Here is a 26,295-nt window from a genome sequence, read left to right on the forward strand (position 1 = left end):
ACCACATCATTGCACTCCAGCCTGGGCAACAGAGTGAACCTCCATCTCAAAAAAAAAAAAAAAAAAATTTAAAAAGGGAGTATAGGGCCAGCCACGGTGGCTCACGCCTGTAATCCCAGCACTTTGGGAGGCTGAGGTGGCTGGATCACGGGGTCAAGAGATCAAGACCATCCTGGCCAACATGGTGAGACCCCATCTCTACTAAAAATACAAAAAATTAGCTGGACACAGTGGCAAATGACTGTAGTCCCAGCTACTCTGGAGGCTGAGACAGGAGGATCGCCTGAACCTGGGAGGCAGAAGTTGCAGTGAGCTGAGACCATACCACTGCACTCCGGCCTGGTGACAAAGCGAGACTTCGTCTCAAAAAAAAAAAAACAAAAGAGTTTAAAAAAATCTTTACAGAAGAATGACAATATAGAAAAAATACAGAAAAAATAGAAAAGTCTCCAATTTCTAATCACTATAGTAATATTTGATTTGGGCAAGAAGCAATCCAGATGAAACCATTAAGTAAAGATTATTATGGGACAGAATATTCACACTGTTTCTATCATGCCATAGATCACTTGTTAATTACAAAAGGAAAAAGAGGCTGAGAATGGAGTCTCACGTCTGTAATCCCAACACTTTGGGAGGCCAAGGAGGGCGGATCACCTTAGGTAAGGAGTTTGAGACCAGACTGGCCAACATGGCAAAACCCCATCTCTACTATAATTACAAAACTTAGGCAGGCATGGTAGCAGGCACCTGTAATCCCAGCTACTTGGGGGGCTGAGGCAGGAGAATCGCTTGAACCCAGGAGGTGGAGGTTGCAGTCAGCCAAGATTGCACCACTGCACCCCAGCCTGGGTGACAGAGTGAGACTCCTTCTCAAAAAAAAAAAAAAATGCCCTTATTCTTAGGAGATGTATAGAAGAAATTAGGGGTGAAGTGCTATGAAATCTGCAGTTAACTCTCAAATTGTACAGAAAGAAAATTTATTAATGTTAAAAAATGTCAATATTCATAGATACACATATATGTGGGGGCAGGTAGAAAGGGAGGGACACAGAGACAAAGAAAATATGGCAAAATGGTAACACCTGGTGATCACTGAACTATTCTTGCAACTCTGAAAAGTTTAAAAAATTTCAAAGGTATATTGTTTTTGAACTGCTCGGGAGGTTTAAATTTTTGAATTTTTAAAATAAGCAATCAATTGTGAGGAAGTCTGAGAAGCCACAGACTTAAGAGATAAGATGAAAAATAAGGAAAGTAGAATCACAGTAATAAGAGGAACAGAGTTTCAAAATGCTGTGGTCAGTCAGTAGCTTCAATGCAAAAGTAAGTTAAATTAAGGACCAACTCAGTAAAGACAACTGGATTCAGCAACTGGGAAGTCAGTGATGACCTAGGGTACAGGAGCTGCATTGAAATAGTAGAGTTGGGCCACGCGTGGCCCACATCTATAATCCAGCAGTTTGGGAGGCCGAGGTAGGTGGACCTCTTGAGGCCAGGAATTCAAGACCAGCCTAGCCAACATGGTGAAACCCCATCTCTACTAAAAATACAAAAATTAACCCGAGACAGTGGCGCACCCCTGTAATCCCAGCTACTCAGGGGCCTGAGGCATGAGAACTGCTTGAACCTGGAAGGCAGAGGCTGCAGTGAGCTGAGATAGGGCCACTGCACTTCAGCCTGAGTGACAGGGGAAGACTCTGTCTAAAAAAACAAAAAATAGGCCTGGCGTGGTGGCTCATGCCTGTAATCCCAGCACTTTGGGAGGCCGAGGCAGGCGGATCACGAGGTCAGGAGATCGAGACCATCCTGGCTAACACGGTGAAACCCTGTCTCTACTAAAAATACAAAAAATTAGCTGGGCGTGGTGGCAGGCACCTGTGGTCCCAGCTCCTCCGGAGGCTGAGGCAGGAGAATGACATGAACCCGGGAGGTGGAGGTTGCAGTGAGCTGAGATTACGCCACTGCACTCCAGCCTGCGTGACAAAGCCAGACTCCCTCTCAAAAAAAAAAAAAAAAAAAAAAAAAAGACGTAAACTGGGTATGTGCCTTTAGAGGTGGTGCACATTTTTAGCATTATAAATGAATATAAATGAGTGGCAATTGTTACTTTGGTCCACAGATTTTTGGTATCTTAACTAGTTTTTGGTCTCTTCCACTAAAGGCATTGCCTGTTGAACCTTGTTAGGAATGTAAGTACTGAAGGCAAACTGCCTGGGTTTGAATTTTGTTCTGTCCCTTGCACCCTGCCTGGTTTCAAATCCTAGCTCTGCTTATTACGTTCTTTTAAGGGGATGACCTTTGAGCAAATGTCTTAGCTTCTGTTTTCCCCAGTAAATGGACACAATAGTTGCTACTTTGTGAAAGATTCATGTAATTGACCAGCATTTACCAAGTAGCATCAGTGTTTAGTTTCAGTCATTGGTGATTCTGCAGTTGGACTGTGAGGGGGTATTGGGGTGGGGGGTGGTGTGTGTGTAGCACTTAATTGCAGGCAGGAAGGAAAAGATACTTTTGATAACCGACAGGCAGCTTTTCTCTGCTTTTGTGTCAAAAGGGAGGAAGGGAGTTTGGAGAGGGAAATGAATTCTCTGTAACACTAAGCTCTCTTCCTCAAAACCAGAGGTAGATAGAATGTGTAATAATTTACAGAATTTCTAGACTTCAACGATCTGATTTTTTTAATTTATTTTTATTTTTTCAGGTTGAGACTGAGCTAAAGTTAATCTGTGGCGACGTTCTGGATGTACTGGACAAACACCTCATTCCAGCAGCTACAACTGGCAAGTCCAAGGTTTTCTATCATGAAATGTAGGTTCTATACTAACAATTAACAAGTGTACTTCAATAAATTTAAACATTCTCAGGAATAATTGACTTTGTTTCTTTTTTTCTTAGACATTTCATATTATTTTCCTTATTAAATATAACCAAAAATCCCACAGAAATTAACTGAGGAGCCTCTAAATATCAACAAAGTTATCACTTGATAGACTAGAATTAAACAAGCAAGTGGTTCCAAGAAATGGCACGAGTGTATTAATCATAAAATAAAATTTCTACATGAAACATTCAGCCATTCTAGACCATTTCTGTCTGTGCAGACTCATCTTTTCCTGTTCTTTGCAAAGCCCAGCTAGAGCAAGCAAGTTCTTCCCAATAGGTTTTTCCCATCTCTGGTTGCTTGGCTGGCTGGGCTTCCTCTACAAACCCCCTTCCTTTCCCCTAAGCAGGGCCCGGTGTCCCCATCCCGCGGAGTTGACCTCATGAGGGCATCTGACCAGGAGTAGCTATTCCTGGTGCTATTGTCATTGTCCTGTTTCATGTGTGAACATGGCTGGCTCTACAGAGATTTGGCGGGTAGCAAGGAGGTTTCTTTTTGAATCTTCTTTTGGAAGTCAGACTTGATGAGGATCTTATGCCCACTTTTTCCTAGCTCTGTGGTGTCAGGCAAAGTCTGTTTCTGCAAATGGGGGTTAAGAATTCCTACCTCACAGCGGTCTTTTGATAAATAAATGAGATCTTAAGTGTAAATTATTCCACTAGAAATTGCACAGTCACTTTGGTCTCTTCATCCTGGAGGTCCACTGACAAACCTCATGCAAACCTGTGGCCCTGTTCATAAAGTGTTTTGATCCATACTTTCAAATGGCCTCAGGAAGACCTTTTATAAAGTAAAAATGTTAGGCAGCCACATGATATCCATTGACCCAGTGAGGCTGTTTTACTGGATATAAGAGGTTTGACCCGGCATTTTGGGGGGCCGAGACAGGCAGATCACTTGAGGCCAGGAGCTGGAGACCTGCCTGGCCAACATGGAGAAACCCCATCTCTATTAAAAATACCAAAAAAATTAGCTGGGCATGGTGGCACATGCCTGTAATCCCAGCTACTTGGGAGACTGAGGCACAAGAATCGCTTGAACCCGGGAGTCAGAGGTTGCAGTGAGCCAAGCCGAGATGGCGCCACTGCACTCCAGCCTGGGCAGCAGAGTGAGACTCTGTCTCAGGGGAAAAAAAAGGGTGAGGGGAGGGTTTGAAAAAATAGTAGCATGTAGTTATGTTTCTACAATATTTGATATATATAAGGATTTACCAACCTCTTGCATTAGCTGCTATCCCCTACAGCAGTTGCTGTAGGAAAAAAACATCAAGTTCTGAGCTCCTACTGTTTGCCAGGCATATTCTGAGATGATCACGTTGAAATCTCAGAGTTACCCTGCAGAGTAGTCAGGGTATCACTGCCTGACAGATGAAGAAGCTGAGGCTTCCAGCAGATAAATGACTTACCCCAGGCCACATAGAAAATGAGTGGGAGAGCCCAGGTCTGTCTGTGAGGTATAATGAAATTAGCATAAACCCTCCACATTGGCGCCACTCGCATAAATTAACATATATTCTCTCACAGAAAGTATTTTATTGGGCATAACAGTTTGTATCATTTACCGTTTAACATTAGCCGTGGATCTTCCCACATCACATGACTATGCCTCATTCTTTTTGGATAATATGATTACTATTGAATGGATTTACTATCATTCACTTAATCAATACTCCTTTTGATGGCCATTTTAATTGTCTATTTTTTCCTTTTGCACAGATTGGTGTAATAAACGTGATTTTATAGTAATATTTTTGTCTGCCTGTGAAAATGTTTGCTGGACAATAAATTCCTAGGAGTCAAATAAGGTCAAAGATTATAAATACAGTATTTATTTTCATAAATATTACCAAGTCAGCCACAAATGTTTAAATTACTAATGGTTTCAGATTATTGTATTTAATGAGTAAACACTTTTATAGGGTTTACTTTTATGAACACTTTTATTTGCCAGATATCATTCTAAGTCCTTTACAAAATTAACTTTTTTAATTTGTAATATAACCCTGAGATGTATATTAGGATTATCCCCATTCTACAGATAAGAACACTGAGAAGTTAATTAACTTGCCACATATCTAGGAAGTGACAAGGCTAGTTGCACAGCCAGGCAGTCTGGCTCCTGAGTCCACATTTTAGACAACACTATACCTCCTGGTTCTTTTGAGGCATTACTGCTGGAACTATCCTAATACTCATAAATAAACATTTCTTTTGGGGAGGGCCAAATAAAATTTTAAACAGAAAAGTTTTCACCAACTGTCAAGCTCATAAAGTTGTACGTTATACACTTTTTTCATGATGCCCACAGATAATTTATTAATGATATCATCTATTTTAAAAGACGTATGTAAAACCCAACCCTTAAGAAAGGATTCCTATCACTGTTCCCACAGGCACCCTCCTCAGTCTTATACCTTTCCATTCCACCCCCCAAAACAAATCATTCAGCATATTTATTTCATACTGTAATATAGGAAGTAGCTTCTTTTTAGATTTTCTTAGATTATTAACATTGATCATACAAACATGGAATAGAAATTCCTTATGTTTTATCTGGATTTAAGGTGCTACATAATGGAATCTATTTCTATCAAGCCATACACATTGGAGATAATGAAATCACTTGTGTTCTAGCCTAAACGTTATGGGAATTTCAGAACTGCAACATAACAGATAATCCTTGGACGAAAACTAAATCTCTCCTCTGGTCAGGCATCTATGTGCATCAGTGAAGAGAAGACGGGGACTGTGGAAGGGAAAACAGTGAGTCAGGAAGGACTGTGGCCACATCTGTTCCCCGGACCCTCAAGTAGTTAAATCCTGACCTCCTCTACCCCAGACTGTCCTGGGGAACGGCCAACACTGGCTTTTCACAACTGTGTGTTACCAGAAATGCAACAGAAACCCAGCTGAATCCCCAGGGTTTCCCTTCTGCCCTTCTCAATGGAAAGATCTGTCCCAGGACCATTTATTCCAACATTTTCAATTATGAGAAATCTGGGAAGATAAAGTTATTTTCACATTTCTCAAGAAATACATACTTATTCATACTCATGACAGGAAAGTCAGAATCTACAGAAAACCAAGAAGATTTTTAAAAATCCATGATACCACCATCAAAAGAGCCACACTTAGTATGTTGGTCCACAGGTTTCCTAGCACCCTTTTCTGTTGGTGTATGCACAAAATACACAATCACATTCTGTCTACATTTTACAATTTGCCATTTTTTGATTAACACTATATATTGACCAATTTTTAAGACCTGCAACATATGTCGACAACATTATTTCAGAATAATATATTTATAAATAAACGCACACACAAACTGTCTGTCTTATATACAACACGTCTTACTTTCTAATTCTCCACTCTGGAAGATTTAGGTTTTGCTAACTTTTTAATATACTCACCAGGAATCAGTAAACTTTTTTTATAAAAGGCCAAAGGGTAGATATTTTAAACTCTGCAGGCCATAGGTTTCTGTTGCAACACTCAACTCTGCTGTTGCAGGGAAAGAAGCCATACACAATTTGTAAATGAATGGGCATGACTGTGTTCTGATAAACTTTATAAAAACAGGTGGTGGACTAGATGCAGCCTGCTCCTCTGGACATGGCTTACCAGCCCCTGACATATACCACTACAGAGGATGCTGTTAGAATGAAATCTCTTTACACATCTCTGATCATCTCCTTAGGACTAATTGCTAGACATGACATCATGGTAGCTGTGGGTCAAAGGGCATGCACGCTCTGGGATGTACATTGCCAGATTGCTCATGATCAGCCTTTCTCATGTCAAAATGTTTTGTGACCACCAGAAGGCTGGTTCTGCTTTTATTATCCATTGACTGAGGAGTAGAAATGACATGGCATGTATGCAGGATATTTAACCATCGTATAGATAATCCTTGTGCACAAGTGCATTCTATATTCTTTCCCAATAGGTCTACATCTGCCAGAGTTGAAATAAAATAAAACAAAACAAACCTATTTAGCACCTTCTGTGTAGCAGGTCCATTCATGTATGTTGTTGTATTTCATTCTCAGAATTCTTATGACCTAGGCATTTTAAAAATTTTTTTAAAAATATTGAGTTGACAAGGATTGTGTATATTTAATGCATACAATGTGATGATTTCATATATGTATATATTGTGTACTAATTATCACAATCAAATTTATTACATCCATTACCACCTATGCTGTACATTAAATCTCCAGAATTTGTTCATCTTATAACTGAAAGTTTACACCCTTTGATTAATAGCTTCCCATTTTCCCCACCTCCAGCCCTTGGCAACCACCATTCTACTATCTGTTTTTATGAGTTTGACTCTCTTAGATCCCACATATAAGTGAGATCATACAAAACTTGTCTTTCTGTGTCTGGCTTATTTCACTTAGCGTAATGTCCTCCAGGTTTATCCAGGACAGGAGTTTCTTCTTTTGAATGGCTAATAGTCCATTGTTTATATGTATTTTATTTATCCATTCATCTGTTGCTGGACACTTAGGCTGTTTCCATATCTTGGGTATTGTGAATAGTGTTGTAATAAACATGGGGCGCAGATCTCTCTTCAAGGTTCTAACCTGATTGCTGAATCGTATGGTAGTTCTGCTTCTAATTTTTTGAGGAACCTCCATACTGTTTTCTGTAAAGGTTATACCACTTTACATTCCAACCAACAGTGTACAAGGGTTCTCTTTCCTCTATGCTTTCGCCAACACTTGTTATCTCTTGTCGTTTTTTTATAAGAGCCGTCCTATCCTATGAGGCAATATCTCACTGTGGTTTTGATTTGCATTTCTCTGATGATTAGTGGTGTTGAGCACCTTCTCATATGCTGGCTGGCCATTTGTATATCTTCCTTGGGGAAAAAAGTCCATTGGGGTCCTTTGCCTATTTTTAATTGCGTTATTCATGTATTTATTAATTTTTGCTATTGAATTGTGTGAATTCCTTATATTTTTTCAAATAACCCCTTATCAAATATATGGGTCGCAAATATTTTCTTCCATCCCGTAGGTTGCCTTTTCATTTTGTCATGGTTTCCTTTGCTGTGTAAAACCTTTTAAGATTGATGTAGTCCCATTTATTTATTTTCACTTTTGTTGCCTGTGCTTTGGTGTTACATCAAAAAAAATATTGCCAATTATGACCAATGTCGAGGAGATTTTTCCCTATGTTTACTTCCAGGATTTACATGGTTTCAGATATTACATTTAAATCTTTAATCCACTTTGAGCTAATTTTCTGTATATGATGTAAAACAAGTGTGCAATTTCATTCTTTTTCATGCACTTTCCCCAACACCATTCATTGAAGAGAGTTTCCTTTCTACATTGTGCCTTTTTTTTTTTTTACAGTACAGTGAAAGCAAGTCTATTAAGAAAGTAAAGGAATAAAAGAATCTACATTGTATATCCTTGATGGCCTTGTCAAAGATCTGTTGACCATATATGCACGGGGTTATTTCTGGGTGAGCTTGGCATTTTTTTTTTTTTTTTTTTTTTTTGAGACAGAGTCTCGCTCTGTCGCCCAGGCCAGACTGCGGACTGCAGTGGCGCAATCTCGGCTCACTGCAAGCTCCGCTTCCCGGGTTCACGCCATTCTCCTGCCTCAGCCTCCCGAGTAGCTGGGACCACAGGCGCCCGCCACCGCGCCCGGCTAATTTTTTGTATTTTTAGTAGAGACGGGGTTTCACCTTGTTAGCCAGGATGGTCTCGATCTCCTGACCTCATGATCCACCCGCCTCGGCCTCCCAAAGTGCTGGGATTACAGGCGTGAGCCACCGCGCCCGGCCGAGCTTGGCATTTTTATCTACCTCATTCTACCGATGAGGAGGCCGAGTCTCAGAGAGTTCACAGACCTGCCTAAGGTCACTCAGCTAGAGGTGATACAACCAGGGTTTGAACTGAGATCTGCCAAGCTTCTGAGTTTATTCTTTTTCCCCCACACCAAGGATCCTCAATTCTGCCTTACTGACATCAGGATCCGGTCAATTCTTTGTGATGGGGGCTGTCCTGCACCTGGCAGGATGTTTAGCAGCTTCTCTGGCCTCCACCCACTGGATGCCAGGGGAATGCAGAAGAGGCTTGTTCATTCTCCCATTTAATCCTCAGGACAATATCTGACATAAATGTTACGTCTTTTATTTTATAAATGAAGAAAATGAGACTCAGAAAGGTTTAAGTGAGTTACTTAAGAACACACAGACAGCAAAGGTAGAACTGGAAACCGAACACAGGTGTCCACATGGGACAACAAAAAAGTTCACGTTCCATCTTCTTTTGAGTCTCTCATTTCAATAATTACCATTGTGTGGATATGAGCTGAAGTACAGGAAACCTGGGGCTGAACTCTCCTCCCATCAGGCCTAGGAGCCCCAGACCAGAACCCCAGCCCAAGGTCTCCCAGTCAGGCCCGCTGGCGTGAGCTGGCATCTACACTAGCATGGTCTCCCAAAGCTGCAGGGATGCCAGTCTCGCCGCTGATGAAGAAAATGAAGGGCATTTGCTTCTCATGCAGGCTGTCGGGATTTAACACAGATTCCTTTTCTTGCTGTCTTCTCCCATAGCACAAAACTGGGTGGTCCATCCCCCTCCCAGTGTCCCAAGGCTTTGTTGCGTGTTCTCTTTAATTTCTCCCACTCTTGTGGTGCACCCTACCCTCATCTCCCTGGCAACCTTTCTGCTGTATCCTCTCGACACCTGGATCACAAGAACACTTGTGAGACCCCTTAACAAGTTACATCCCAAATTATCATTCTCCTTTGTCCTCAGCCAGTGCTCAGGTCCAACTTGCTCTCCTGGGGTGACTTTCTTTCCTGCCCAATATGGTTTCATCATCTGTAAATTGGGGATAATTAAAGTCTTGATCCTGATATTTGACTCTCAAAGCAGAAGTAGCAAGCTCAGCCAAGTCACTTCAACAAGAGGAGAAGTTCCTTGTGAACCAAAAGGGCACTGGTCACAAGGGCCGCTCCTTCTTCTGTCAGGCCTCTCCAGCACGCCCTTGGCTCAGCCAAAGAAGAGACTCAGGCTGTGCTTCTGCACTGTTGGGATAACATAGGCCTCTTCCATGTGGTTCCACACCAGGAACATGGGGACAATCAGACCTCTCCCAGTGTGGGCATAAGGATACAAGATCATGTCAATATTGACATTCATAATGGCTGGGCGCAGTGGCACACGCCTGTAATGCCAGCACTTTGGGAGGCTGAGGTGGGCAGATTGCTTGAACCCCAGAGTTCGAAACCAGCCTGGGCGACTTGGCAAAACCAGTCTCTACTGAAAATACAAACAATTGGCTGGGCTTGGTGGCGCACACCTGTAGTCTCAGCTACTTGGGAGGCTGAGGTGGGAGGATTGCTCAAACCCAGGGAGGTTGAGGCTTCAGTGAGCTATGATGGCACTGCTGTACTCCAACCTGGGCAACAGAGTGAGGCCCTGTCTCAAAACAAAAACAAAGACAAAACAACATTCATAATAGTAGCAATAGCTACTATGTGCCAAGCCCAGGCACCTCTTCGAGTCTTTGCTGTCACCCTATCAGGTAAGCGTGCTTAGAAGTTACACGAAGCACACGGCTCAGTGTTTGGCCCACGGTAAGGGCCTAAAAAGGGATAGCCCCAGTGGTGGGGATGCTGCTGCTGCTGACCATTAACCCCAGTCTGCTCCACCTTCTTCCAGGCAGTCTGTGAGATGTTTCATGTCCGAGGCAAACAGCACATTCAGATCCCCAAGCTCTACACCTCCAGTGTGACCAGGCACCTGCACCACTTCAGGCTCATGCAGGACTCACAGCCTTTGGACCTCAGCTAAAGGACTTGCTTCTCTTCAGCACACGGGGCTTGTTTGTGTTGGGGTCTGAGCCCTGAGCCCATGGTCAAGGAGACCCCCAGGTCTTTCTGAACAGAGACAGCTGGCCTGGGGGCCTCCCTCTCACTGCGTGCAAGAGGCTGTTAGGGTGCAAGACTCAAGGCGCTGAGGGAGGCTGTTTCAGGAGGGAGCCCCAGGAGGGTGGTGGAGACAGAAGGGGGCAGCATCTGCCGAGGCCCTACTGTGTGCCTGGCACCGTGTGGGGTTTCTGGCCCATATGGGCTAAGTGACCCTGCACACTCCTCTTAGGAGAGAGGCTCAGATGGAGAAATTGCAGTTCAGGAAGGTGAAGCAAGCTGCTAGCCTGTGGCCATGTTGGGATCTGGGCCTCAGCCTTCCAGCCACGAAGGCAGCCAAGTGTCATGAAGAAGGCATCACAGAGGCAATTCCAGGCTGTAGTGGTGAACTTTCCACTCTGCATCCCCGGGTGCTGTGCCCTGTGCCCTGTCTAAGGTAGCCCTGTGGGTTTCTATATGTTTAAATTGTCCCCAGCATCAATGATGCTCTCCTGTGGATCCCAAGCCATGGAGATGTCCTGGGACTTTTCATTTTTAGGTACCTAAATTGAATTTCCCAACACACAGAAGCAAGACAGCCGCCCTAACAGACTCTTGCATGCAGTGAGAGGGAGGCCGCCAGGCCAGCTGTCTCTGTTCAGAAAGACCTGGGGGTCTCCTTGACCATGCGCTCAGGGCTCAGACCCCAACACAAACAAGCCCCGTGTGCTGAAGAGAAGCAGGTCCCTTAGCTGAGGTCCAAAGGCTGTGGGTCCTGCATGAGCCTGAAGTGGTGCACGTCCCTGGTCACATTGGAGGTGGAGAGCTTGGGGATCTGAATGTGCTGTTTGCCTTGGATCTTTATTTGTGATTCAGAAACAGTGGAATAAAAGGAAAGGAAAGAAAACCTGAATGGCCACCTCAGCAGGATGCTCCAAGGGTAGTGTCCAGGTGGCACTGACTCAGATATGTGGGGGCTTCCCCCACCCATGCTCAAGAGCCACTTTGCCATTTCACCATCTCTCTGTCCTCCACACCCCTCAGCAGCAAGCACAACAAGAATGTGTTCACCATGAAGCTCAAATCTCAGCAGAATCTAGAGTCTGAAATCCAAGTAAGGGAAAGTGTAGAGCTTCTTGGATGATGCCCTGTCAATTTTATTTTAACGAATGAAAGACCAGAAGAAGTCAGTCTTGAAAGGAGAGGACAGGAGCATCTGCTGGCATTAGCAGCCGTGCCATCGTAGGACCGACTCACCTGGACCCGCGGCCACCTGTGCTTTTACATCTAGTCTTGGTTAACCATGGGCCACTTTTCCAGCTTGGAAACTAAGCATATGCTCCACTTCCTCTCCTTCCTCATTGAACTCTTTCACTAAAAGAACAGTGCAAGAGAGACTTAAACTGTTTGCCTCATTCTTAAGACCTTTCAGGAAAAGTGTTGGCAGGGAAGGAAATCTCCCAGCTCTGGGAAACAGTCTTGTGGATTATCTGCTGGTTTCATTGATCTGTGCTGTCCTCCCTGCATTCATTAGGAAAACTGGCCTTGGTTCAAATAAGAACAGGATTTGTCCTGGTGACAGAGAAAGGTTTCTTCTGATGTCCATATATCTCCGAGGGGGATGCTTTCTCCAGGCAGAGGCTGTGGCCAAGCGATCGGGGGGCTCAGAGGGCTGCTGGGAAGGGGTGGGCCCCTCTCTCCCCAGAGGGAAACTCCTGGGGACCTCTCGAGCACCCCTGCCCATCCTTTAAACATAAATTCATAAATACAAACAAGTAGGCCATTCACAGAAATATATAAAATATGTCATAGGACGGGTGGCACTCTCATATGGCAATAATTATGACAGGGGCCGGCAAATGACCTGAGTGACCCGGAGTGACCTGAGCACTGACTCCCAAATGCCCTCCATAGGATGTTCTGCATCCCCGAGACCCTTTCCTGGGTCCTCCTGGGCCCTACCACCCCCTAGACCATCCAGACCTCAGGTCATCCCCCTGTCTGTTGACAGAGTAGTCTCCGTTCCTGAATGTGCTGGTCACCAGCAACAGCAGCTGCTCCTCCTCCGGGAAGCTCAGCCTATACTTCTACATGCAGAGAACCTGGACGGCACCCAGGTGGACCTAAGCCTTCAGCTCCCAGTAGACGCTCTGGGTTTCCTACCCTGCCCAGACACTCTGGGCTTCCCCCCACACCTCCCCTCGTCCGGGGCTCCTGTGTGCATCTGTCTCTCCCAGTGCCCAGCACAGGCGTGGAACGGAAGAGGTGAATGGACCGATTTGAACACATCATCCTGGATTCTCCGTTCCCTCTCAAGCCCTGCAGCTAACCCATCGGCAAGCCCTGGAGGCTCTGCCTCCAAAATCCTGCCTATCCCATGTGCAAACGCCTCTCACCACATCCACTGCTATTTGCAGTTCTGTGTGTGTGGAAATACTTCCACAAATTTGGAATGAACAGGTCACAGCTGTGCCTGGAGGGAATGGCCAGGGAAATGTGCCCTCACCTTGCTGTTCTATCCAGGCCCACCCAGCTGAGGATGGGGGACCTGCCACCACTCTCCTGGCAGTTCCGGACTCCTGGGAACCGGCAGGTGAGGACCCAAGAGTGTTTTCAGTGACCCGGCTGACCTGGTCATCCGTCAGTCCCACCTTGGCCTAGGCCTCTATACAGCACAGATCACAGCTCATTCCATCCTGGCATTACACTGGCCTGTGCCCTGTCCTCAGGGTCACATCCGTCTCCCAGAAGCCGTGCAACCCTGGAAAACCCAGGTCTAACAGTCAGGTTCCTCCTCCGTGCATTAACAATGGCGTTGACGCCTGCTTTGCGGCACGCTGGGAGGGGAGAGGGAGGTGTATGCTGGAGAGCTCCCCAGGGGCAAGGCCTGGCTCTGCGTCACCCACTGTCAGATCCTGAGAGCCTGGGGCTGGCCCAGCACGTGGCCACCGTTCCCTAAGAGTTGGATTTCATCCCTCAGTGCTGAAGGCAGGGGATAGAGCTTAGACAGACCCCCTGCGTCCTGTCTTCTTTATCTACAGCTTTCTCATCCTTGCCCCTTTCACGTGCACCCGGCAGAGCAGGTGTTCACTGAGCTTGAGCAAAATTCAAGCTAGAGCAGCTGATGGATCTTGAGGCCTAGATTCACTGTCAAAGTGTTTCTCAAACGGTGCTCTCCAGAACACCAAGGAAAACTCATTGACTGTGTAAGTCTGAAAATCCCTGCCCACCGGTCTACCTTTGTGTATGAGCAATCAGCTCTACCATTCAGCCCAGGTGTGTGTTTGCTGGACCATGTGGAGGAAGCTGAAGAGACGTGAGCTGAAGGCAGAGGGTGAGTCCAAGGTGGGATCTTGGGACAGGTACGAGAAGTTAGGCAAAAATGGGATAATTCTAGCCTTCATAACCTTAGATAATAGTTCACATTATTATTTAGTTAATAGAACTGTACCCACATTAAATTTCTTAAATTTTTTTAAGAGATAAAGTCTCACTCTGTCACCCAGGCTGGAGTGCAGTGGTGCAATCATGGCTCACTGCTTCCTGGAACTCGTGGGCTCCAGCAATCCTCCTGCCTCAGCCTCCTGACTAGGTGGGACTATAGGCACACGCCACCATGCCTGGCTAATTTCTTTGACTTTTCTCTAGAGACCGGGTCCACCTAGGTTTCCCAGGCTGGTCTCAGACTTCTAGACTCAAGTGAACCTGAACCTCCCGCCTCGACCTCTCAAATTGCTGGGATTACAGGTGTGAGCCACCACACCCGGCCTAAATTTCTTATGTGCCATGGGACTGCAAAACATCATTATTAGGGGCAGCTGGATGGAAGGTATAGGAGGATACTATAGTGCCTTTTCAATATTTCTGTCTAAAATCTAAAATCATTTCAACAGGAAACATTTATTTCAAAACATGAAGGTGGTTATCCTTCCATGAGTTTGAAGTACAAAGGCAGGCTCACGGTGTCGTCAGAATTCAGAACGATGGTCGTGGGGCTGGGGGTGCTGGGAGGGGCTGGGCATGGTTGGCTTTGTGATCTGGGGTCTGGTGTGTTCCATCTCTGAATCTCTCTCGAGCTGCACTCTTTCTTAATACATTTTCATAAGTTTAACCAAAAATAAAACGAGGATGCGAAGCTTGCTTGGGTTGTTAAGCCTAGGGAAATTATCCAGCCATGAGCCCTGGCCCAGATGCTTCTAGAAGCCTGGAGGGAACTGAGAACTTTCCAAGTGGAGGCCGCAGAGGCAAGGCCCTGAGGTGGGAGCACACTGCTGTTCGTCCCTAGCTCTGAAGGGGGTGCCCTGGTCGGAATCAGTGCTGGGTGCAGCGAAAGCCGATCTCACCCGCTCCGCAGGGTGTTCAGCCTGCCAGCAGGGGGCCAGCTGGTCCTCCTGGGATATGGCACGGACCCAGCAGCTCTGTCTGAAATCATAATGGCGGAACCAAGGGCCCTCTACGTCCAGGTCCGTTGGGAGGCGGGGCATGGAGTTCCACTGCAGGAATCTCCAGGAACCCTGAGGTCCTCCCTGAGCCAGGGCCGGGCTGGGCACACCCTGAGTGCCCACAGGGTAGGTGTCTTCCCGGACAGCCCCACCAGGACAGGGTGTGGAAGAACGAGGTGCCCGTGGCGGGGAAGCTGACCAAATGGGCCGCGGGAACCGGGCTGGTGGGCCTGGAGGGGCCTGCCTGTCCCCCTTGCAGAGGGTCTTCCCGCCACGTGAAGCCGGCACAGGCCTGGATGCCGACGACCCTTGCTCGGGTTTGGCTGAAAGGAAAACAGACGCGGTCAGCATCTCCAGTGAGCCCACGCAGGCCTTTCCGGGCTGGGCCCCACCTGCCTGCGTCTCTGGAGTCCTCGGGGTCTCTGTGTGGCCCCCGTGGCCTGACACCGAGGACACGCCTGTAGTCTGCTGATCCCAGAGGGAGGGGTGCATGCTGCCTGGCGTGGGGAAGCTGTCGTGGCATGGCGGGTGGCTCCTGGGACTGCCCCCAGGGTTCAGACTGGCTGGGGGCTTCCTGCCACACACCTTCGTCCCAGGGCTGTTGGGCCTGGGATACGGCCCCCAGTCAGAACTCAGGTGGGAGGGGCCTTGGATGTCACCCAGCCCCTTGTCACCTCACGTGGGGACCCGTCTCCGCAGTGGGTGATTGGGCCCGGACGTGGGTCACCCTCTGCCCTCCTGGGCTGCCCAGTCCATGCCAGGACTGACCGTTCCCACTTCTGGCTGAACTCTTGGCTCTGGCTCTGGGCCCGGGGTCCCGCCTGTGCCCTCTCCCTGAATGCTCTGTGGGTCAGAGACACGGATTCCCTTGTCTCCCTGGCTCCAGGCTTCTTGTCCTGGCAACCTTGGAGGAGCGTGCAGGAGTGAGGGGCCTCTGCTGCTCTCTGAGGCTGTGGGTGCTTGCAGGGAGGGGCGGGGTCTCCCACAAATGGGTCTGGGCTCGTCTAGTAACTTGGAGGGCCCTGCGAGGGGGAGAGGGAGACACCGTGGAAAGTGGGAGGGGGCTTGTTGGAGGGTCTTGCCCACATCCCCCTCCTGCGTGCACAGCATGTCCAGTATACACGCACTGAGCGCCTGCCCTGAGGACCGGTGGGCCTCCTGTACTTTCTTAGAGTCCAGGAGGAAGAGGAGGAAGAAAAGGTGAAGAGGAAGGCCCAGGTAGTAGGGTTGCGGGTCCCGGGCACTCCCCTACTACTGACTACCCCAGAGGGTGACATGGGAGGGGACATGGCACTGGAGCCCACCTGGGGGTGGCAGGTCCCCCTGCTTTCTTGTTAGTTTCTTCATAGAGGCCCTAAGATGCTTGAGCACAGTGTCCTCATCCCTGGCCCAGGTATCAACGAACCGGTTGCAAAAACGTGCCCACGGGCCACACCTGGACGTCTTCGTGAGGCGCTCTAGGGACAGGGTGGATATCAGGCCAGGGGAGTTACCTGGGAATGGTCACAGCTCATATCCCGTGGCCACTTCAGTCTCCTACTGGGCGGTGCCGGATCCTTTTGTGGCCACCCCAGGTGTCCAGATATACACAGGAGACTGTGGCTGGGGGGCGATCCGGACAGGGAAGTGCTCACCACACTCTCGACTTTCATCTGGGTCATGTGGGGGATGGGCTCGGTGTCACAGTGTCCTGCCCAGCCCACCTGGCCAGACCTCCCTCTGGGCCAGAACAGAGGATCATGAGGACAGTGTGAGGAAGCTGCCCTCGGGCCAGTCGGGGTCTGACCCCAGGGCTCCCCAGGCCCCGCTGGGCACACGTAGACTTACTCTGCTGAACCTTAAAGGCGATTCTTGTTATCGGCATCAACGCCTGTTCGCCTTCTACCAGATACACGTCCCACAGGCGCAGGGTGAGCCCGAGAGAGATCTGTGGGGACAGCAGGTGTGAAAGAACCTGGTCCTTCCAGGCTGGGGCTGGTGGCTCGAGCTGCGCACACTGGGGCTTCAGTCTCCAGAGTCAGTGACCTTCCCCATGAGGGTCGCCTGAGCCCTCCAGGACGCTGGGTCAGACAAGGTCTTGAAGCTCCTCATGGGGGGCACTCATTTGAGTGGGGATGTGGCTCCTGGAGAGAGGGGCTTGCCCAGGGCTTGAGGCTTCCCTGAGCCCTCTCAAGTCGGGTCCTGGCCCAGTCTGCCCATGAGGCTGGGCCTGAGCCCCAGCCATGGCCCTGGGATGACCCCCCTTGGGCAGAGGGTTTTGCTTGTGTGTCCTTTGGGGACCCGCCTGAGCCTCCTGTGGGCTGGGAGTGAGCCAGACCCCCGGGCTGGGGAAGCAGGGCACTGCAGGGCAAGGAAGGTCCCTGAGCCAGGGTCTCCCTATGCCTCCTTACCCCGTCAATCAATATCCGGATGAGGCAGCCTAACGGGGAACACTGCCCACATAGATCTTTCTTGTCCTGATGGAAGCAACAGAGGTGCTCAGGCCACTGGGCTGCCCTAAAAACCTCCCTCTTCCAGGGCCTCTGAAGACCCTTCCCCTAGTGCAGAACACTGGGCGGTGTCCAGAGCTCCCCACAACACTGTCACCTTCCCACACTCCCGGTGGACACACTGCCCTTTGCCCTGCTCTGTGGGAGCTGGGCCCCCATCCCTGTGCCTCTGTCTCCTCCAGGGCAGGAAAGGAAACCAACTCCCAGCCCATGGAGAACCCGACGTCCCAGGTCAGGCCCTGGCTGGGACTCAGCCAGTCACCAGCCCCACGAGGGGCTCCAGCCCCCCTGCTCCTACAGCCCCACGGGAGGCAGGGCCTCTGGGAAGAGCTGAGGGGACCATAAACTCACCTGATGCCCCATGGTCTTGGGTTGTGACGTGGCTACCACATGCTCCTGTTGGTCTTGGAGCCCCTGGACGGTCCCGCCATTTGGGCTGTGAAATCCTGAGAAGCCCCCAGCCCATCATGAAATCAGAGCCTTCCCCCAAGATGTGGAGCCATCAGCTGCAAGAGCTGGGCAGCTGGAGAGGCCCCCAAACCCCAAGGCCTCCCACCCTCCCATCTGGTGACCCCAACATGCGGCCTTTACCCTGGGGAGGTGGGGCGGGAACATTCCCTGGAGCCTGGCTGGAGGTTCCCCTGGAGGCCTCCTGGGCCAGGGTGCAAAAAGGGCAAGCCTGACTTTCAGGCCACGACAGGGTGGCCGGAACTGGGTGGGCGCTGGGCTTCCCGGTCATCTCCTGGTAGTGGGGTCGGGCCAGGGAACAGGGGATGGGGAGATGCTGCCACCTGGGCTTGGTCGGCCCATTCGTGGGCACCGATGGCAGCAGGAGCCCGGGCAGCTGGAGGGCAGGAGGACTCTCAGGGAGGGGAGAGTCAGCTGCACAGAATCAGAGCCGGAGGGCGTGGCTCCAGGACACAGAGGGTGGCCACGGGGAGGATGAGATGCCCTCTGCTGATGGGGATGAGAGGCGTCTGATTTGGGCTTTGGGGGTCAGCCGTGGACTCCTGTGGGACCCTCAGCAGAGACATTCTAAAGTCTCCCAACAAGCTGGCGACACAAGGAGGGTGCCTTGGCTGAAAGCTGTGATCACCTGGCCAGGGTGGCCATCCCCAGGTCTGGCTGCAGGAGGTCCCCGGGGCAGCTGTTCACTTACCCTGCAGGGAGTGCCTCTCACTGGCCAGCAGCTGCACCAGTGCCCAGAATGCATCCTCCTCAGGAAGATAGAGGAGGAACAAGGCGGCGATGTGGCTCAGGTCCCTGCAGTAGCCCACCTCCTGCAAGAGCCAGAGTCACCATGGAAGGACATCACCTGGGAGGGCTGAGGTCACCTGGGAGGACTCATGTCATTGGAGAGGGCAGAGGTGACTGGAGAGGCTTCCTCTGAAGGAGAGGCTTCCTCTGAAAAAGAGGCTTCCTCAGGATGCACATTCATTTCATGACAAGAGCCAAGTCCATCAGGCACTTCAGCACCTTGTCCAAAATGTCTGCTGATAGCACCATCCTGTGTGCGATGCTGCCAAGCTCCTGGGCTTTGGGGCAGCCCCAGGAGGAGGGCGTCATTTCTTGTTCTGAGAAGTGGTGGTCAGGCCCAGGTGACACCAGGAGTCCGGGCCCTGACTCCTTTGTGTCTCAGCTTGACCCCTTGAGACCACCCCCTTCCTTGGAGGTTTATGCCAGCGGTGAGCTGACATCCTACCTCCTATATCCTGGTGGGTCACAAATACTAACTTTAAAAGAAGCAACGACACCCCCACCAGACACCCACTCCTGTCAATATGGAAATATGGCCCGGGAACCTCACTGCCGGGAATACTCACCGGGTTATACTCCTCATATGCCAGGAGGATGTGGAGTAGTTCCCGCTGCCTAGGAAACAGAGAAAGGGGGCTTTGGTTTGTTTTGTGCAGATGTTGTTAATTTCACTTTGTCTACAAAGCCTAACAGCAAATCCCATTTCAGGTTCAGATGTTTCACCAGATAAGCAGTGAGCTCTTCAGGGCCTGAGACTCTTGAAGAAATGTTTCAGTAAAATCCACATCTGTGACATGCAAATAGCCCAGTTGTACAGTGACTTGCCTGATCCTTTTCACTCTGAATGATTTTTTTTTTCAGTTTGCACACACGCCAGTTCAGTCTGTGGGTGTACAGTTCCTCCACGGTTCCAAACCGATGTGCAGAGTCTCCCGGCCACCGCTCCAGCCCCTCCTGGGGCGACTCCTTCATCCTCCAAGTCTCCAGGGTGGCCCCTATGCAACCAGCCTCTCCCCGATCCGTCAGCCCCTGGCCACCCAGACTGCTTCTCAGTCCCTGTGGTTTGGCCTTTTCCAGAATGGCCTAGGAATGGGAATCCTACTGTGGTAGCTTATTGGGTCTGGCTTCTGTCCCTCAGCAAAATGCATCTAGGATCCACCCACGTTCGTGCGGGCATCACCGGCTCGTTCCCTTTTCTCACTGGGTCTTCCGTTTGAAGGGAGGACCAGCCTTGCTCTCCCCATCCCCGTGTTGAAGGCCGTCCCCGAAGGCTCCGTGTGTGAGTGACGAGGAGTCAAGCAGTGAACCTGGCATGCTGGTTTCATGTGGATGTCAGTTTGCAAATCAGTGGGTTCAATATCTGTGACACTTTGGGGATGTGTGGTTCAAGTCCATCGAGCTTTGTGAGCCACTGCCCAACTGGCTGCCAACGTGGCTGTGCCATGTCATGTTCCCAGCGGACCTGGATGAGAGTTTCCAGGACCCCTAATTCTCCCAGCATTTGGTGCTGTCACTGTTGCCTGGGGGGGGCTCATGGGCCCTCTATCCTGCCACCCTCCCGTGGGTCCTACCATGGGTCCCCATGGGTCAGGGAGAGCACCCTTCACCATTGTGCATGATTTTGTTTGCTGCCTTCCATCTCCTCAGGATCCTCCTGGGTTCTGGCCCCACATGTTCCAGTCTGGCCCAGGGCTTGGAACCAGGGAGGTGCTCGGTTCATGGTGCCGGCTGCTCCCTGGGCCGGGAGAGCTCTTGGCAGCTGTGTCATCCCTCCTGGGTGACCCTGGCTTCTGCTCCGGGGAAGCCCCCATCCCTCTCATTCACCCCATCTCTGCTGGGACCCTGTGGCTCCCGTAGGCTTACTTGGTTCCGTATCGATCCCTGAAGAACATATGCTTCCTTAATGTCCCGCTTATGTCCCGGTCGATGCGCTGGATGTGCTCAGATGACCTCTTGCCCTTCTCCTTCATGATCTGTAGGGCAGGGCCAAGAGGAGGAAGCAGTCTCAGAACAGATGGAAGACTCCCTGCCCCCAGTGGCAGTCAGCCCACAGTCAGCACTTCGGGAAGGAAGGACAGAAGGAAGGTTTCCTTCTGCAGAAAGCTGCATTTTGGCTTGTTACTGAAGCCAGGGAGGGTCACCAGAGCTGAGTTTGTCTGTGGTGACTGTGTCACCATCTGTGCCCAGGGTGTTCATCTGACCTTCACCCCCAGCTCCCCAGGGTGGTCTTGACGTTCCCTCCAGCTGGAGACCTGGGCCCCGACACGGCCTGTCCTGTTTGTTGTGCTCTGGCTGAGCGTACCTGGTATCTTCCGGGGTTTTTCAACTTCATTTCCTCAGTGTTCAGGAGGACTGACCACATCGGGCCCCGGATGTTCATGGGCATTCCCTTGTACGCTCGATCTATGAGCTGTGGGCAGAAAACGATCTGGTGTCACAGGCCACGGGGTGACCCCAGTGAGGACCAGAGCCCGGGGATTCTGGAAATTGTCGGTTTTGGCCCCATGATTCCTCAGTAGAGGTGAGATCAAGCTGGGACAGGGTCTCCCTTCCCAGGACTGAAAGAGTGGATGGACACTCAGAGTCGAAACTCTGATCTGAACCTTTTCCTTCCTTCAGGTCCCCAGGGCATCCCTAGCCTTGAGCTCCGGGTAGTCCCAGCCCTAGATTCAGATTCCCTCCCTGCAAGGTGACGCTTGCACGAATAGGCAGGAAATCTGGCGACCAGGCCTGCAGTCCTCTGGGCGAGGACAGTGTGCCGCCCACCCTCTGAGAGGCTGATGGTGCCAGGCCACAGCCATGGGTGCCTGTCCCCTGTCTCTGCAGAGAGTGCTTCCTCCCTCCACACGTTACCTTTCTGCTGCTTTTGTATTTCTCCCAGTCTCCCAGCATATCCACCCACTTGCTCTTTCGGCTGATCTCCCGCCGAATTTGCTGTCAAATGAGGCATGTTGGAGTTAGCGGAGCTGCCAGGCTTCCCAGAGCCGCCCGCGGATGCTGGGTCTTGGGCTCTGGAGCCCTGGTGGGAGCCAGCTGGAAGGAGCCAGGGAAGGGCAGACCTCAAGGGCTGAGAGCCTTTGAGCAAATGAGCACCAGTGGGCTGGCTTTGGGACCCCGGGATGTACCATCCTCAGGCCACAGACACACCAGTCTTAGGTCCCAGCCTCTAGGTGGGGTCCTGACACAAGCGCGCAGCCACCCCCAAGCCAGGACTGTGGTTCTCCTTTTGGAATTTTATCAAACTGCCAAAGTGAACAGCAACCTGGGGTCAGGTCCAGCAGGGACTGCTGCCCCTCCCAGTGACAGCGTGTTGCCCTCACCCGCCACCGCTCAGGCCAGCTGCTTCCTCTGCCTCACTGACCACCCGCCCAGTCCCTACGTCCCTGGACCAGCCCCTCCACGCATCAGGCTCTTACCTTCGCCTCCCGCGCAGTCAGAGGAGGCAGCTCCGTCTCACTGTAAGGCAACCCAGGCAGAGCTGAGGAACTGCACGGGGCCTGGAGCGGCCCCAGCCTGGGTGCCGACCCCCAGAAAGGACTGGCTCTGTCCCTTTCCAGCTCAGGGCTCAGCCCAGGAGAAGGCACAGGGAAGGGAGGACAAGGGCCTTCCTGTGGGGCTGATTCCCAGGAGGGGCAGGACCTGGGAGAAGAAGGAGTGTAGGGACAGCCTGGCCGGGGTTACTGGGGCCCCTGGCGTGGGGGGCGGTCAGGCTGCCCAATGGGGCTGCCCGTCCTGGACTCGAGGTGGTGCTTTCTGCTGGAGCTGAGAAAGGTTAGCCCTGAGATGGGATGGGGGCCGCCCAGGGTGGGCGACCGGGCCCTGACAGGAGTCCCTCAGGGAGTGACCACATCCCCCCGCCAGGGTCAAGGGAGCCTGCCCTGAGACCTGCCCGGTGTACTCTGGCTGCACCAGGGGCCCACCCCACTTGACAGCCCCAAGGCCCTTGCAGATTCTGACCTCCCAGCATCCACCTGCCTCTCCCTGCACCCGAGCCACACACCCTGCGTTTCAGAAGTGGCACGGCTCATCAGCTCCCTCCCGCCCTACCTCCCCAGGGATCCTCTGTCTCTCCATCCTGTGATCCCTGAGGGATGGGCTCCTGGCTGGGCTCCTCTTACCCGGCCCCAGATCCCTTCCCAGCACCAGACCCAGGTCTTTAGCCGCGAGCCCTGCTGCCTCCCTGGCCTCACCGTGAGATGCCCAGAACGGGGCCCTGCCCATCTTCCCCCCGTTCTCCTAGGGCTACAGCCCCCATTGTCACCATGCCTTTTCCCCTCACGGGACAGTGAGGGCTGTAGCTCTAGGGGAATGGGGGAGAACAGGGGCAGGTGGGCCCTCAGAGACCTGCTGGACAACAGCCCTGAGGCTGGGCCAGGCGTCCCCTCACCCTGTGGCCATAACCCTTGCATCTCACCGGGTTTGTCTCCAAGTAGACAGGGCCAGACCCTCAGGCTGCCCCGCTCCTCTTGTGCTCACTTGCCGACAGAACTGCTGAGCGCCCAGGGGCCTGACCTAGCCCAGTCTCCATTCCCACCGGCTCCCTAGATGGGCCCCACACCTCTGGCCTAACAACCTCGGGCTGGACCTGCAGGGGAGTCAGGGAGGAGTTCTGTCCCTGGAAAGGAGGTTGACCCGACCTGGTGAGACATGTCCTGCGTCAGAAAGGCCTTTCTAAAAGCAAACCCATCCCTGAGCTGAGACAGGTGCTTTAGGGGTGAGGGGAGTGCAGAGGACTCACTGTACAATCCCCAAATGATCGACGTTGTTGTTGTAGCTTCGAAAAGGCTTAGGCCCCTTGTCCTCTGGCAGCCCAGCTCGGTGTCCCTGTAGCCCAGAGGGAGCCTTGGTGAGGGGTCCAAGGTAAAGGGTGCAAGGGCCTGGGGGCATTGGCCACCCGTCCCTGCCCTGTGCTCCTAGGGAGCCCAGGACCCTTTGACCAGGGCACACTGGAAGAGGCCTCCCTCCAAGAAGCAGACCGACTTGTACCTTTTCGTATTTCATAATGATGTCCTCTCGCTCTTGTGCCCACCAACTGCCCGCGACCTCTACCACGTCCATCCTGTGAGACAGAATTGTCTAAAGGTCACACTGTACGCGGCGGCTTCGGAGAACACCTGAACCGCTCTCGCCGGGCTCCCAGATGCTGGCTGGCTGCGTAACCCCCATTCCACCGCCGCCCCCAGGGAAAAAGGGGCCAGACCCAGTGGCCCACAGCTGCTCCAGTCTCTGGAGTCTCAAGTCCCAAGCAGGGGTGGGCATCTTCCCAAGGACTTGAGTACAGTGGGACCTAGACAGAGAATCCTGTTGTCCCCCAATGCCATGAAATGGGGACACACCGGCCCCAGCAGGTTGAATGGTTTCCACCTGCCAAGGGTGAAGGGCCCATGATGGGCTATTCCAGGGATGTGGAGGCAGACTGGGGTCAGCGACCAGAGGTCTCTGTGCAATCGGCCTCCTGGGATGCTCAGGGCCTCAGCGATGCCCAGTTTCCTACAGGGAACAAGATCTCTCCCGACTGCTCGGTTCTACTCCGCTCATCACTTTGGCTACCGTGGCTCTTCAGTCTGAACAGTGAAGCCACTTTAGGAATAACGCCTGTTGAGCAGGAGGGTGTTGGGTTTGGGGGATGAGGAAGATCTATTGTACGCATGGAAACCACGTCTCTCGCGGAGGGACTGTGGAGTCCACCATTCTGAGCCGTCCCAACAGGAGGAGGCTTCATTTTCCTGGGTCACTGAGGAAGAACAGTGGGTCCTTGGTCCTGGAGAACAGCTGGATGGACCGTCCCTCCTGGGAATACTCGAGGCAAAAGGAGGGCGAGGCCTCAAGAGGACCACGCAGAGCAAGAAATACCTGGGGAGAACCCTAGTGCCCGGACCCCTTTGAACACAAGGGAAGATAGTCTCCCCTCAGCCAGCCCTCCAGGGCTCCTTCATTTTCCACAGCTGCCCAAGGGCAGCAGGCTCCCCCGGACAAGGGACCATGTGTGTTCAGTGGGGCCCACAGCGACCATCAGGACCCAGCTTAGGGCACAGAGGTGTTCTGAGGACCGTCAGTGGATCTGTACCAGTGGCTCTATACCAGTGGCTCTGCCAGGACCAGGCTCTGCCCCATCGGGATGGGAAACCTGGGCAGATTTGGGATCTAGGGCAGGGAGGTCACAGGGTTCAGGCCTGAATTCCAGCACAGCACACGGCAGGGCTGAGAGCAAAACTCAGGGTCATGTCCGGATTCCCAGGCCGGTTACTGCCTCTCTGACCCCAGACGTCTCATCTGTCGAATGGGGACATTTGGGAACAGCACCCACTCTACGAAGCCACCATGGAGACGAAAGAGCCAATCGTCTACACGGGCAGTGTAGAACGGGCGCCTGGTGAGTGCTCAGGGATGACCCTCCTCGGTAGCTGCCCCACAGAGGCCAACACCGCCCGCACCGTAGCCACTGCCCCCAAGTCCGCCTGGAGGGAAGAGAGCAGGTCACGCTCACCTGATTCTGATGAATCAGCTGGCCTGGGTCATGCCTCTCAGGGAGAAAACCTTTGAGTCCACAGAGCTGCTCACAGATACCACTGCCTGTGTGTAACTGCTGTAGACCACTGAGGCAGGCCAGAGAGCAGACAGGTGCTAAGCACCAGTGACATTCTGAGGTCATGGCACGAATCACAGTGGGGCCTTGCCCGGGTCAGCAGCGCCCAGAGTCAGGGTCCTCCGCTGCCTGAGGCGTCAACATGCCTGCCTGCAATGTGTTTGTGCACGTGCGTGCACATGTGTATGTGGGTAAACACGTCTGTGCACGTGTGTGCTGCTTCTCTGGCCAGGCCCGGCTGCCCCACTCATGTGTGCACCCAGTTCCTCATCACTGTCACCCCCGAGGCCCAGGGCCAGCATCAGAGCATCCATGGCTGCTCCCTAACCCCAGCCCTCCCCGCCCAGGGTGGTCCTGGGATACACATAGCGGTGGAGGGAAGTGACTGCTGCTATTGGATCTCAGAATACAAAAGCTAATACTATTACCTAATGGTCTTTTTAGTGTCTCTAATGGTATCACTTTTTCATTTCTGATATTTTAACTGGGTATTTCTCTCCATGACCCTTGGATATTCTAGCTAGAGGATCCTGTGGGGAAAGTGCCGGGCACACAGTAGGGGCTCACTCTTCTAGACACGTTATCTAAAACCTGGTTCATCTGTCCTTCCACGCAGGGCCTAGGGGATGCCGAATTCCAGGGTCCAGAAAGAGCTTGGGATAAAAAGAAACTTCAAGGGGACGGCTTTGACCTGGGCTGAGTCTACCTGTGCCATCCAACTGGAGTCTCAAGTCCTGAGGCAGGACGTCCAGATGC

General features: G+C 51.5%; 1 protein-coding gene and 1 pseudogene across 8 annotated transcripts; one reads left to right on the forward strand and one right to left on the reverse strand.

Annotated features, from left to right (window-relative positions):
- The window catches only part of LOC100420852 (nitric oxide synthase 2, inducible pseudogene), a 52,131-nt pseudogene continuing 36,410 nt past the window's right edge, over positions 10,575-26,295 (forward strand).
- TBC1D3H (TBC1 domain family member 3H) lies at positions 14,647-25,569 on the reverse strand. Of its 8 annotated transcripts, none has more exons than NM_001123392.4 (14): positions 25,441-25,551; positions 23,940-24,012; positions 23,692-23,777; positions 22,370-22,409; positions 21,807-21,887; positions 21,256-21,363; positions 20,817-20,926; positions 19,520-19,568; positions 18,856-18,976; positions 18,048-18,142; positions 17,598-17,663; positions 17,035-17,134; positions 16,512-16,664; positions 14,647-15,530 (listed from the first exon to the last, which is right to left on the reverse strand). In NM_001123392.4, exons 2-14 carry the CDS (start codon positions 24,009-24,011, stop codon positions 14,962-14,964), a joined length of 1,650 nt encoding a protein of 549 aa, NP_001116864.3. In that variant the 5' UTR covers position 24,012; positions 25,441-25,551; the 3' UTR covers positions 14,647-14,961. The 8 variants fall into 8 exon arrangements, with proteins under 8 accessions (NP_001116864.3, XP_011523475.1, XP_047292592.1 ...); XM_011525173.3 differs by having other exon boundaries at positions 22,370-22,592; XM_047436636.1 differs by having other exon boundaries at positions 22,370-22,592; positions 23,940-25,297.

Source organism: Homo sapiens, chromosome 17 (genome assembly GCF_000001405.40).
Source record: "Homo sapiens chromosome 17, GRCh38.p14 Primary Assembly".
In the NCBI taxonomy this organism is placed as follows: Eukaryota; Metazoa; Chordata; class Mammalia; order Primates; family Hominidae; genus Homo; species Homo sapiens.